We start from the raw sequence: 14,274 nt of genomic DNA, 5'->3' as shown, positions 1-14,274 counted from the left end.
ATCCCAGCACTTTGGGAGGCCAAGGTGGGCAGATCATGAGGTCAGGAGTTCAAGCCTGACCAACATGATGAAACCCAGTCTCTACTAAAAATACAAAAATTAGTCAGGTGTGCTGGCGCACGCCTGTAATCCTAGCTACTCAGGAGGCTGAGGCAGGAGAATTGCTTGAACCTGAGAAGTGGAGATTGCAGTGAGCCGAGATCGCACCACTGCACTCCAGCCTGGGTGACAGAGCAAGACTCTGTCTCAAAAAAAAAAGAAAAAAGAAAAAAAAGAAAGTGCAAACAGTACATACATATGATGAAGGTCAAGAGGCCAAGAAAAGACTGGGCTTTCATAGAAGATGATTTACCTGAGTCCTCGTCAGACATTTAGTTGCCACACACCCATCCAACAACGGTGTGTTGAGTGCCTACTAGGTGCCAGGTACGGCGAGATCCCGCTGAGTCAGAGGCACACTGGCTAATGCTAGCAGCCCCACAGACAGAGAGACACAATTTAAAATGTTATTAGGATCTTCCAGCAGGGATGAGAGCATTTACCTATAAGCCATCAGAAGGCCATCCCCAGAGCTTGGTGACTGGACCCGGAATCAGGCTGGGAGTTACCTGGGAGCAGCCACTGTTCTGAGCCTTGCTGGCTGGGGCAGGGACAGAGAGTCTGGTCCTGGGAGGGACTTGGAGCGGGCAAGGGTGTGCCTGTGGAGGCTCCCACGGAGGCCATTTCTGCATAGTATTGAGCAATCAGAAGTAGAAGTTCCCCTGGAAGAGCTTGGTGTCTAACCGGGTGCAATGTGCATTGTGGTCTGTTCCCCAACACAAATCATCATTTTCCCTTCTAAGTGCTCACACCTGAATGTGCTCTCTCAGAGCCTGCCCCTGTGTGTCCTCCTGTCCTTGTTTTTCAGGGGACGATGATGACACTTTTCCCATGATTATGAGATTCCCCTCACACTCTACACTCTCCTGAGCTATGGAAGGCCAGGCTCAAGCACAGCATGATCCACCCACGTTCACTGCCTGTGCCACACACAGATTCGGTTCTACCTCTAGCCCTTCTGGGGTCCACACTATGGCTCCGCCTCCCGTCTCTGAGCTCGCTGAGTTCTTTGGGTTTGTCAGTTGAAGGCTCTGACTCACCTGATGATGACTGGGCTCTCCCCAGGCTCACAACCCGGGGCCACCTCACCTCCACCCTGCCGTGGCCTTGGCCTTGGCCTTGGGCCCTACAGCACACTCTGTCCTCCACTCACCTTGAATTTGGCTGGAGGCATGGATGCCTGTGCCAGGGCAAACTGGCAAAGGGAAACAGAAAAGAGAATTGATCATTTTGCAACTACAACAGAAATTTAAACAGACAGAAAGCACCTTGCTGATTGCTGTCCTTCAGAGCATTGTCCCTGGGGAGCATTGCTGGACCCGATGCTGCTGTGGCTGCCCCACCACTGCTGGAGTCATCCCTGGCAGTTTTGAGCAAGCTGTCATTCAGCAGCTCCCAAGCCCAGCTGCACACTGGAGTCATTTAGGGACCCTTTAAAAATATGACACTGCACCCCCACCACAGACTCAGAGAGGTGGGCCTCTGGTATGGGTATTTTGTAAAAGCCCCTGGGGGAGTCTAACATCCTCTAGGCTTGAGGACCTCCCTCCTGTGCCCTGTCTGGCCTGTGTTCATAGATGCTCCATAGGCGCCACTGGGCCATCATCCACCTCTCATGAACAGATGCTCAAGGCCCTGTTTCCCCGGCTTATGAGAGTGCTTCATTAAAGCAAATGTCTAAATATTCATGCTCCAGGCTTTCTCTAAGCAGCCAGTGGGTACAGTCCACCTTCCTGGAGTTTCTTTCCAGAAACTCAACTTAAAAAAAAGCCCTTTAAAATGAATTGACAGCCCTTTGTTTCTAGATAACCCCTGAGTTGAGTTCGTGGTCCAGCAAAACAGAACTCTCCATTCACTCTTCCTCCACCCCAGCCCCTCCCCAACCGATCTCACTTCCCACTCCTGCTTCTATTCTCAGGAAGCGCCATCCCCGCTAATTGCTCTGACCCAAATCATCCTTTAGAATCCTTGATTCCTTCTGTTCCCTCACCTTCCACATCAGGAAGTCCTCCCTCCTCTTCCTCCAAAGCCTGTCTGCCCTCTGTCCACATCCCAGGTCTCCCGGGGTGGACTCCTGACTTCTACTCCTGACCAAAATCCAGGCACAGCCACAATCCAGGCACAGCCACAATCCAGGCACAGCTCTTAATTTTTTAACTTTTTATTTGAAATAATTTCAGACACACAAAAAGTTTGCAAAATAGTAGAGACACTTTTCTTATAGCCTTTACCCAGAGTACCCAGATGTTACCATTTTGCCACATTTTGCTTTATCCTTCTCCCTTCCAACTGCCACCATTCCATCCTGCCCCACATGCATGTAAGCACATCACATTTTTCTCCTGAACATTGAGAGTAAATTACCTGTTGCCCCTTGCCCCTAAATACTTCAGTGTGTATCTCCTAAAAATGAGGACATCCTCTTACCTAACCAGAGTTCAGCGATCAAAATCAGGAAATTAACATGGATGCAATATTAACATCTACATATTTTCTTCAGATTTGACCACCTGCCCCAATCATGTCTTTTATAGCAATGGAAAATTCCAGATAGTATATTGCATTCAGTCACCATGTCCCCTTGGTCTCCTGTAATCTGGAGTTTCTATCAGATTATGTTACTCCTGTGACAAGAGCCCTCCACTGTCCTGGGAATGTAGGGCCAGCCCTGTCTCGGGCATGCCCCCTCACCCTGCAGCCTGGCCTAATTCTCAAGCCCATCTCCCCCATCCATGGCTCCCTCCCTCGCATGTCCCCGATGCAGCCCCTTCCTCCCCATTTGCTGTGCTGGGCTTCACATCTCTAGTGGCTCTGTCTGGACCGCTCTTCTCTGGTTGCTCCTGATCACCCTGAGGTCTCAGAGGAGAGGCCTTCCTTTCTCTGGTCCCACCACCGCACCTGGTCCACTACACTCTGCCTTGTTTATTTCCTGCACCTTTCACTGTCTTGGTCACTGGTTCCCCTACGTGTTATCTTATGCCTCCCACCTCCACTGAACATCAGCTCCATGAGCGCAGGGGGTTGTCCTTGCTAATTCCCAAGCATGTAGAATGAATTGTGCCTGATACATAATAGAGGCTCAACGAACCTTTGCTGAGCGAGTAAATACATGAATGAATGCAAGTCTTTTAGACTATTTGGGTTAGAGACAATAGAATCCTTTCACCAACACTTAAATGAGAAAGAGATTCTATAGGCACTGATTGAAGACAAAATGCAATTTTTTTTCCCCTCAGAAAGCCTTTCAAAGTGTCATCCAATGCCTGAGGAAGCTTTGACTCACCACTTTCCCCTTTCAAGGGTCCAGAATTCAAAGTAATAGAATTGATTTACTTTTTAAGAAAATATACCAGATCTTCTACAGTCAAGGATTTTTGTAGCAGGCGTCTTGGCAGAAATAAGTGACACATATTGGCCTGAAGGTCATGGTCGAGTAACACTGGGAAGAGTTTCTGACTGAGTTAGAGACTCATCGGAACCTACTCCATGAGCGGAGATAGCCCCCTTTCCTGTTAGAAGGGCCTTGAGGGACCTCTGAGCACCCTTGGGGGACCTACCCAGGATGAGGTTAGAGGCCTGGATCCCCAGTCTGTCCCCGAAGGGGTTCCAGGCTCAGGCCCCCAGAGCAAGGGTGAGCCAGGAGGTCAGGGGCGAGCCTGGGCAGGCAGCACCGAGGTGCTCTCACTTAAAATTGGGAAGGTTCTGCATCTTCACTGGGGAGGCAAATCAATCCTTGGCTGTAGAAATGTGTAAAGTTGGCTGTGCAAGCTGTGTGCTTCCCTGTGTGTACTTGTACCTCAATACTTTTTTTATAAAGGAAAAAAGAAAATCGGAGGAGCTCCAGCTCTTCAAAAGCAAACAGCAGCTGCTGGGGATGATGGCCTGCCTGAGTCCCTGTGGAGTCCAGTCCTGCCTGCTCTCTATAGGTTTTGCTGCAAAGTGGGGTCCATGCGGAACTCAAAGATCTGAACCCCCAGCCCTGCTCTCCACTGGCACCCTAGGGAAGGTGTGCACCAGATTGAAACAAGCAAAAGGAACACGTGCACCCAGCTGGGGCTGCAGCTCAGGCGCAGTGTAGGGGCACAGGCAGTACGTGCCTGGCAGGTGGGGGTAAGATGTTGAGGGCTCGGGAGGCTCTGGGTTCAGAACAATTCCCTGCTCCAGGTCTGGAGAGAAAAGATTTCAAGAACCAGACACGAATGAGTGTGGGAGGGTTCTGCTCCTGATGGGTACTGACTAGCTCCTTCCCACCCAATCTCACTCTAGGCTCCTGGCTGGGGAGCCCACTCCCGGGGGTCTTCTGACCCCTTTGCTCCATCACTCTAGCACTGCGATGCCCCCATTAAAATGGACTTAAATCCCAACAAATACCTGGGGAGCTGCTCTGCCCTAATGGCAGAGTGAGGATGGGGCAGTGGGCAGGAGGGGGGCCCACACCCTCCATCACACAGAGGCCACACCTGTCAGGGGTCTGCGTGGCAATTAGCAGGCTCAGGAAAACCAAGGACTCTTGGGACAGCCCACACGTCCACAGGAGGCCCTCCAGTTAGGTCAAAAGAGTCCATGCAGGACTAGGGCCCCACAGCAAGAAGAGCCACTGGCAAAGCTGAAATGCCCTGGTGGCTGGAGATGCAAGTGAGACCTGGGCCTGTGCATGCACATTCTCATGGCAGATCTGGACCAGGTCATGGAGTCATGAGTCCCCAGAATGCTGGCAGCTATGCAGAAGCAAGGCTGCAGGACAGGCATCCTGTCTGGGGCAGACCCTGGCTGGCTGGTCTCAGCCCCCTGTTCCTGCTCCTGGTCCGACGGGCCCTGCAAGGCAGCAGGTGCGTGGTCAGACGTCCATTCTCTGGCAGAGCCACACTGCCTGGCCTCACATCCTCGCTCTGCCATTGAGGAGCCTGATGTCCCTGGGCAAGTGGCTTAACCACCTCATGACTTGGTTTTCCTGTCTGGACACTTGGGGTGGTAATAGCAGCTGCTTCAAAGGGCTGTTGTTCTGAGATGAAAATGAACTATGAGATGCTTTGAACCGTGCCTCACACGTAGCAAGTGCCTAACGGTTAGCTGTCATTATAGGCATCATTAGAGGGGACCCCGAGATGAGGGGGAAGTGGGTGAGACACCCCATGGAGCTGTAGGCCCACTACTCTCACCTAAGCTCCTGAAACAGCTCTTTCCCTGGGAACTACACTAGAGAATTTTACTGTGGTCTTTCCGCTTACTGATTGTGAGACCTTTAAGAACATGGCCTGTTTACCATGCCCTGGTTTTAAGCATTTTGATATTCTCATGTGTGTCTAGTACATGGTAGGACCTTAATACTCAGATTAAGATTTTAGGAAAATGACCATCTAAAATATATTTTTAATGGGGTTGCATAAGCTCTCTGATATCGGCAATGAAACACGACATCTTGATGGTGTCTTTTAAGAGTGGTAGGCCAAGTTTGATCTTGTTTAGCTATTAGGTAAGTGGTTATTGTAAGAACTAACTCTTCCCAAATCTACTTTATGGAGCCTGAGTGGTTATTATAATCATGCCTTCCTGGGTCCTTTTCTGTAATACCTGTAATCATTCTATAACATGCCCAGAAAAAAAGCCTTCAACATTCTAATATATCTTCTCCTCGGTCATACAGTCTTCTAAGGACTTAGGGGTTGCCTCAGGAAAGATAGAGTTTCCAGGAAAAAAAAAAAACAAAAACAGCAAGTGGTAGAAGTTACCCAAAAAGATTAGAGACCACCTTTTGCCTTGCTATTTCCCATCTCCTCACAGCCCCATTCTGGTCTCGACAGGGGAGATTTTCACAATCAGTCCATCACCCCACACCTTCTAATTCATCTTGTTTAAAGAGACTTCATGCAACTTTTGTATTCGGTCCTTCTGACAGGTAGGAATGAGTCACTGCTTTGGCTGCCAGCGACAGAAACCAGCCCTGGCTAATTTAGCACAAGGAGAACATGCTGGAGGGTGGGCGCCTGTTGCATAGTCCAGCAGGCAGCTCAGAGACGGGACCCCGGGGTGCTGGTGGCTGGGGGGCCGGTTACTGTGGCCAAGAACACAAACATGCCCTGCAGCTTCAAGGATGCTGCCCTCCAAATGGCCCCTCCTTGCCTTGCTCGCTCCAGAGTCAAAGTGCTGGGAAGAGTGTTTTATCAGTCAAACATTAGGCCATGGGCCTGCCCTCAGCGATACCTCAGGCAGGGAAAGAAAGGGGCAGTGGGAGGCAGGCACACAAAGGGAAACTGTGGTGGAGATAAGGGCTGGATGCAAGGCATCCTCCCCTCTTTCCCAGAAAAAGCAAATAGGAAATGTGCGGGATTTGAAGGAAGAAAAATCAAGTGTACTAAAAGCATCCAAAACCAAACACAATCGATGGATAAAAATATTATACATCTTGGAAAACATCTGGAAAAATGGCAATTCTTCCCTAAATCAAGAGTTACTGTAATCCTAAATGAGACCTCCAAAGAACTTTCTGAAAAGCTTCAACTAATTCTAAGATGCACATAAAAAGACAATGTAAAAAGAGCCACGATGATTTTGAAAAATAAAGACAAGAAACTCAAAACAGATAAAACTCAAGTAATTAAAATAATGTAGATTAAACAAAAGGATCAATGAAAAAGGCAAGAGCTGAGATACAGAACCGTATGTATTAGACTTTGGTATATTGTCAAAGGATCAATTTAGGCTGGTGGACAAAAAGACAACAGTGCTGGCTTTCTGTGGGGTAAAAACTAAATACTGTGGATCACTAAAAAAATAAATTCCAGGTGGATTAAGGTGAAAAAAAAACCCCAAACTGTACTGGTTATATGAATAAAACATAAGAAAATATATTTAAAACTTTGTCATAGATAAGTTGTCTTAAACGAGATACAAAATACAGAAACCTAAGCAAGACTGACAGACTGACAAATCTGACTTCTTTTTTTTTTTTTTTTTTTTTTTTTTTGAGACGGAGTCTCACTCTGTCGCCCAGGCTGGAGTGCAGTGGCGCGATCTTGGCTCGCTGCAGGCTTCGCCCCCCGGGGTTCACGCCATTCTCCTGCCTCAGCCTCCCGAGTAGCTGGGACTATAGGCACCCACCACCTAAGATGACAACTTCTACATAAAATACACCACAAGCAATTAAAAAACATGCTGCAGAATAAAAACATATGTTCACAAAAGAGACTCATATGCTTTGTATGAGAGTATTCATAGCAGATTTATTCATCATAGCCCCAAACTGGTAAGAACTCAGGTGTTCATTAATAAGACAATAGACAAAGCATGGTTTGTTCACACAATAGACTACTACTTAGTAATAAAAAGGAAGAAATTACTGATAATTGTAACATGGATCTCATATTCTGAGCAAAAGAAACCAGACACGACACAAAAGACCATATACTGTTATGGTTCCATTAATATGAAGTTCAGGAAGAGGTAAGACTAATTTATGACGGAAAAGAATCTCAGAACAGAGGTTACCAATGGGGGCAGGAGAGGAGGGATTACCTGGAAAGCAGATAACTTTCTGGGAGTTACGGTAGTATTCTTTATCTTGACAAGGGTTTGAGAGACAGCTGTATCCTTGGTCAAAATTTAGCAAATGCACACATAGGATTTGTATGTTTTACTTTATGTAAATTTTATCTTTGGAGAAAAAAATTATAAAAAATTGATGAACTCTAAATGATGCTGAAGTATTTGGGGATAAGAGTATTGGTGACAACTTGTTTTGAAATGCACCAAAAAATAAGCCGGATTAATAAATGAATACATGATAATGCAAAGGTAGTAAAAGTTAAAGGTAGAAGCTAGGTAGTGAGTGCATGGGTATTCTCTGTAAAACTCTTTTGACTTTTCTGAATGTTTGGAAGTTTTCACAATAAAATGTTGGGAAAAAAAGGCAACAGATTGAAGGAAAAGTATTTCCAACATATAAGAGATTTTTTTGTCCAGAATGTATAAAGAGCTAATCATCAATAGAAAAAATACTCAACCAAAAATTAGCAAAAACTTTCAGAAAAAAAGGCAAATGCCACCAGTGCCTGAAAAGATCATCCTACTGCATTGATAGAAAAATTCAAATGAGCACCACTTGCTCCTCACCCAGCAGGCAGACACCAGCTCACTCATGTCTGACAGCACTGGGGGTAAGTGGGTGTTCTTATGTGCTGCCAGGGCCCGTGTGAAGTGGAGCTGCCACTTTGACAGTGTCTTCCAGAGTCTGTTGAGGCTGATCTTCCACCTCCCTGTACCACAAGAGTGGGATACCTATGAGCAAATTCTATGCCTGTGCTCTGGCACTTGCTGCAGTAGTTAGCATGAAGTGGAGTCGCTATGGAAAGATATGTGACCTATTGCTAAGTCAGAACCATATACAGAGCTATGGCACTTACAGAAAAGCAAAACTGCTGTGTGAGTACACACAACACACACACACACACACACTGCAGATTAAGAGTCCAGGAGAATGCAAACTCCTACCTCAGTGAGGAGGTAGGATTAAGACAGAACAATTTGATTTGAAACAAATACAATTTGAAATAAATTTACAAGACCATATTCATGTATTACTCACCCGATTGAAAGCATTAACAGATTGTTAGTCTAAAAGAAAGCTGAGTCTGTCTTTCACTTTCCCAGCACTTAGGGTGAAAGTGCCAAATTAAATACTTATTAGGATTTTATCACCTGTATCCCCAAACCAGGCTTTAATTTCTTTCACTCATTCCTAAGGCAATTCCCATCCACCCTACATGACGGGAGCTGGGAACTTGGCGGTTCCTGGTCATCATTTCACACACAGGGTCTAGGCACGTTTGGGTGACCCCTTTGACCCTGAGCAGGTGCTGCAGACAAGCCCTTTCTATTATGGGGTTGATGGGGTAAGATGGCTGGGCACCTGCCATATCACTCATCAACACAGTACAGAGCCGGCTCCTAGTACACTTCCCTGCCCCCACAACTCCCCACCCAAGTGCTGAGTCATATCTGACTGTGCAGGCAGAATACTTTTCGCACCAGCCACATCAAAACTTTAAAGACTCGTTTACTTTTAAGTGTACTGCACGGATTCGTCTTCAAGCAAAAATATATGAGCTACACACAGCTACATTTTATGACTGATAATAGCAGATGTGTGGGCGTGTACATGTTCATATATAATTTCAGCTGTTTCTCTGACATTTTGTGCAAACAAATCAAACGCTCACCAAAACTAGTTGAAAGTTTTATTTTTATAAAATTAACATAAAAGATTGTTTAAAAATCTGCAGTTATTTACAGCAGTATTGCACAAGTAAAGTGGCAATTACCCTGTCAAAATTCATCAGTGCAAAACACAAGTAAGCCAGGGAAACTGCAATACAAATGCTACATACGCTGGGTCCTAGAAAACAGGTTAGTGATGGATCAGTATACAGCCAGATCAGTGCTATTTATAAGTGGGTACCTGATGAGTTCTGATACAGTAACTAGTGGTCACAGAATCTGGACATAAAACATAAGAGAGCTTCTATAGTCTGAAATTCCCAAATAAAAGTAGTCAAGTTACTTAACTGGGAGCTTGAGGATGCTTCTTACACACAATGCTGTTTAGAGTAGACCCCAACTGATTTAGCGTCATCTGTAGACACGTTTCCCCCACCCCACGTGTACGTGAGTGGACACACACAGGCACCAGGCTAAATCAGCAGGGATGGCAGAACCACCTGCATGGAACCACCATGAAGTCTCCTTAAAGCTCCCATAAGCTTTCACATCTTGACACCCAGTCCAGTGGGGCCCCAACCTCCCCTGAAGGAGATGGAGTATCAGAAGGAGGGCATCGACCTGAAGAAGCAGGCTGACCAAATGCAGTGACCGTATGGGTGGGGCGTGGGGAGGGCTGTACAGTTAATTAGCTCCTGAAGACAAGTTAGTCCAACCTCAAAGCACAGGAAGTTGCACAGCAGGTGGGGGAAAACCCAGCTACTCACAGTTGTCCACAAGGGGTTAGTGGCCTGAGGTGGTCCTTAGGCAGGAGCCACCTGTCCCACCCATTCACTTGTCCTGCCTGGCCCTAGCCCTGAACAACTGCAATGCAGCACCTCTGGAAGTGGCACATTTTATTTCTTTTCTAAACGCTGAGTTGTCAGGGATAAATTTTCAATAGAAAAATCTTTCCCACCTGCTGATAATACTTTGGTTTTTTTGTTTTCCTAAAGATAAAGCCTGGAGTCAGCAAAATTTGCTTGCATGATAAGCTAGTTGCTTTGGAACAAACAGAAGGTTGCTGGGTATTTCTTGGAGTAGAATTTTGTAGCCTGCCAGACTGAGTTTCTCACTGGCATCAAACACACACTTCATCATAAGGGCGGCAAAGCCCAAGAATTGAAACCCACTTGACTGGAAATACCAGGACCCGAAGGTGGAGAGCCACCCTGGAGGACCACGTGGTCTGCAATGAGCTCTCCAGTCACCCCCGACAACTCTCAGGAGTTAACTTCATGGGACGGCAGGGGAGTGGGAGACAGGGATGTTAATACTTTTCAGAAATTAAGACATTAAATAAGCAGAAAATAAATATACAATATTTCTACAAGTTACAGCATTATGAAACAGTAGGACACATCACACAGAAAAAGAATCTACAATATTTACAATCCTTGATTTTGAAAAAGTTGAGAAAAACAGTGATTTTTTTACTTATTTATGCTGTACAAAATTTTACAAGGTAAAGGAAACACAATTGCACACAGACATTTGGCTCAGTTGATAAGTAATATGACCTACGAATCTAATAAATACTCACAATATATACATTAAGAAGGGGAAACGGCAGACAATTGTATTCCACTATATTTTTTTAATCAGAAGGAATTTTAAACTTGATTTCTCCGCAACCCCCACCCCCAAAATTCTTGATCAACTAACCAGTTGGGAAGGGCATCTGAAGAATCACTCATGAAACTATTTTGTGTGTGTTTATTGCGTTTCTGTGTTAAGTCACAGGACACTTTTTACAAACCTCACATAGGGAGAGGTTGTCAAGGCACAAAACCTGCAGTAAGTTTCCAAAAAGGGGATTTAATTATTTTTTCTACAAAAATGTTTTTTAAAAAAGGTAAAAACGTATACCCACGGGAGGCATACTTTCTGCACAGAGGCATCTTGATAACCAGATACATACAGTACAGAGACATCCAGTCATCGCTTTAAGTTCTGGTGCCAACAGCCTGGTCTTTAATACTCCTACAATTCATAGAATCTCTAATTTCCTCAGGAACTGTTTCCACAGCCAGCCTGGAGGCCGCCAGGCCAGAGGGAAATGTGCTCATGTGGTGCACACAGCCCCTGGGCAGCACAGGGCAGGGCCTCCCGTGCCTGGCCCAGGGCTGCACCCAGTGTGTGCTCCCAGGGGCTGCAGGGCTGAGGAAACAGAGTAAAGTGCTCTAGTCAGGAGACTGGCACGTGAGTACAGGGATCCTGGGAGGGGGTGCCCAGATCCAAATACATCTTTGGTGTATGTGTGTGTCCAGCAGGCCCACGGCTGCAATCCTACCACTGCTTGTAACCGTGGGCTTTGTATGACCCTACCAATGGGCTCGAGACACATCAGGGAACAAGATGAGCTCCAACACAGCTTTAAAAATAAGTCAAAGTCCCAAGGAGATTCTTGGGGAAAGGAAATTTTTTAAAGTAAGAGTATTTGGATTGAAATCATCTCTACCTAAAGGAAAAAGTGAATATGCAATATATACATATATATTTTTTAAATTATGAAGATAAAAATGTTTAGATTTTTCCACCTAATTTAAATAACGTGAACATGCTGGCTCTTCTATCGGGCAAAACACTAGTTGGTGGCACTGCTTACTCATTTGAAAATTTAGTTATTTCTTTTAAAAGTTGTTTAACGATGGAGTTTTCAAAAATTTTAAGAGTTACAGAGTTCACAGAATTGTCTTCCCTCCTCACTTTCACTGCTCCCTAACCTGACTCTTTCTTGGGTCTCCCTGGGCATCTGCTGCCTCTGAAATGACTGACCAGTGTGTGGCTTCCTTCCACTGCACTCATAAGGAGCAGGCACAGAGAAAGAGCACCCTCACTACATGGCTGGGGTCACAAGTGGCCTGACAATATCCAACTGTCCTGGAAAAATGAAAAAAAACAGACTTCTGCCCAGAATTATTCTTCTATGGTGCTGGTGGAAGTGGGATGAGGCCTGTTTCAAAGTGAATTTAAAGGAGTGAAGCTAGTGGACTGTGAGTTGGACTAAAATGCAGGAGGCCAAGCAAATGGCCATCAGAAGCCCTGCCCCAGGCCTGTGCCAATTCCCATGAGGGCGTGAGCTGGATGCTGCAGCTGGACTCTGCTGTAATGGACACGGTGGCCCTCTGGGACCTGATGCTGACAGTGCATCCTGTGACCATGGGAAAGCCTGCAACCAGAAAAGCCAGCAGCACAAAGGGGCGTAGCACTTAAGTCTGTTGTTATTACTGCTATTGCCTCTTCAGAATACTTCCCAATAACATGCTCGTCGAAATGGAATGAAAACCAACACCAAATGCTTCCCAGTTAATAACAGATCGCTCGAACTGTGCAAGATACAGGCAGATATTAACTCTTGTTCTGACTCAATTTCACTTTATCATGAAAATACACTGGACCAAATCTATGCATCTGAGTCCAGACTGGAGTTGCATCACAAAAAGTGATGAGGAAAGACGCAAAAATAGTCTGAAATTTTGCCACAGATGCAACTGAATTTATAAAGGTACGTAAATATTTACAAATGGGACTGGTATATCAATGCAGGCTGGCAACAGACCCTCTGCCCTTTTAATCAGTTCCATTTCAAAAGAACTCTTTTGGTATTAAAAATAATTTAAAAAGGTCAGAGAGGCAATAGTAGGGAAGGGAGGGAGTATATCACACGTCTCCCTGTTTAAAAATTCTGTAATCTCTAAAAATAAACTAAGGCAGCTTTTTAAGTTAGCTGGCTCAGTTTCCACTGCAGGGGTTACATAATCCTCTGAGAATAGGCCGTAGGTTCTTAAAATTTTAATACAAAAGTTATTCACAAATTGGTTAAAAAGTTTCCATTTCCTTTTTGAAAAACCTTATTGAAGGTGAGGGGGAAAACACACTGCATGTAAACACCATTCTTACACAAAATCCTGCTCCAAAAAACCATGGTTTGTATATTAAAAAGCAAAGAATGCTCCCTCCTTTACATTCACAACAAACTTCCATTAGAAATTCTGCTGTGTGGTGATGAACAGAAAGGTAGTCCCATCCAGCTCGGTGTCTTCTGAAACGTCACCTGCCCCCTCCACAAGAGAACCGCTGGCTGCATAATAATGGCACCAGGAGACCGCGGTGCTGGGTCTTGTTGGTTTGAACAAGCAAAATGTCTGCATGGTATCTCGGCTCCGCAAAGAACCTGTCAATGCATTCTCCACACCAGGCGGACAATGTAACGTAACAGTCGTAAGATAACCATTCGTGGGTGGTCTTCGGCTGCTTGGTAATTATTCAAAAATACCTGAAACAACAAAAGGAAAGCTTCTTAGTTTCTCCCTAATTTGGGGGTGGGGAGGGGTGGGAGCCCATATTTAAGTGAACAACCAATCCCATCTTAATCACCATGAAAGGCACCTCTTCAAGAGCACTGTGTCACAAAGCACGATGCCTCCCAGAGATTGTGAAGAAAACTTGTTTTCATTTCCCTGCAAAGGGGAAGACATCCCTACAAAAAGGGCAGGCATACCAATGATTTACTCCTTAAAATAGGAAAAAAAAAAAAAAAAAAAAAAGCACTCAAAAAAATGTTTGAAAAACTCAAAGAGGATGTAAAGCAACTATCTTACCACCCAAGTTAACTGACATTCAAATATGCTGCAGATTCCCCCAGGGGTGAATTTCTGGTAGCTGTAATTTATTTGAAAAACCAGTGATTTGGAGTAATCTGCCCTAAGAAGCTAAATAAAGTCTCGCAGTGATGCGCCATTGTGCCTCTGGCTGCTTGGCTATGATAAACACCGTGACCCAGAGGGGTGCCCATGGTCACAGACACAGGCAATGTCAACCCCCATCCTCCCACCTTCTCGGTATGGGAAGGAAAGAGCAATCCAGAACATAAAAAAGTCTCTGTGTCAGTGACCAGCATATGTTTGTTACAAACTGAGA

At 45.4% G+C, this 14,274-nt stretch overlaps 1 protein-coding gene across 19 annotated transcripts in view, besides 3 other annotated features; it reads right to left on the bottom strand.

The window, feature by feature from the left end:
* Window positions 8,861-8,970: an enhancer, noted in NCBI's record as "active region_16384". NCBI's record gives its function as "activates an Ori minimal core promoter by ATAC-STARR-seq in GM12878 lymphoblastoid cells {active_cell/tissue: GM12878}" and the evidence as "EXISTENCE:reporter gene assay evidence [ECO:0000049][PMID:35858748]".
* Window positions 9,318-14,274, bottom strand: part of BCL2L11 (BCL2 like 11) — a 47,532-nt gene continuing 42,575 nt past the window's right edge. For 14 of the 19 annotated variants that reach the window (NM_138624.4, NM_138622.4, NM_138621.5 and 11 more), the window contains one exon: window positions 9,319-13,630. Coding sequence is in view for 9 of the 19 variants with exons in the window: in NM_138621.5 (NP_619527.1) it covers window positions 13,532-13,630 (99 nt within the window). In the remaining 10 variants the exon portion in view is untranslated. Of the gene's footprint in view, window positions 13,631-14,274 lie in introns of all 19 variants that reach the window. The other 5 variants (NM_001204108.1, NM_001204107.1, XM_005263553.4 and 2 more) reach the window with 1 other exon arrangement.
* Window positions 10,092-10,151: an enhancer, noted in NCBI's record as "active region_16383". NCBI's record gives its function as "activates an Ori minimal core promoter by ATAC-STARR-seq in GM12878 lymphoblastoid cells {active_cell/tissue: GM12878}" and the evidence as "EXISTENCE:reporter gene assay evidence [ECO:0000049][PMID:35858748]".
* Window positions 11,466-11,966: an enhancer, noted in NCBI's record as "H3K4me1 hESC enhancer chr2:111923374-111923874 (GRCh37/hg19 assembly coordinates)". NCBI's record gives its function as "activates a minimal SCP1, AML or CMV promoter by ChIP-STARR-seq in primed H9 embryonic stem cells {active_cell/tissue: H9 hESC(primed)}" and the evidence as "EXISTENCE:reporter gene assay evidence [ECO:0000049][PMID:30033119]".

This window comes from Homo sapiens, chromosome 2 (assembly GCF_000001405.40).
Source record: "Homo sapiens chromosome 2, GRCh38.p14 Primary Assembly".
Classification (NCBI taxonomy): domain Eukaryota; kingdom Metazoa; phylum Chordata; class Mammalia; order Primates; family Hominidae; genus Homo; species Homo sapiens.
This window is presented reverse-complemented; position numbering and strand designations above follow the sequence as displayed.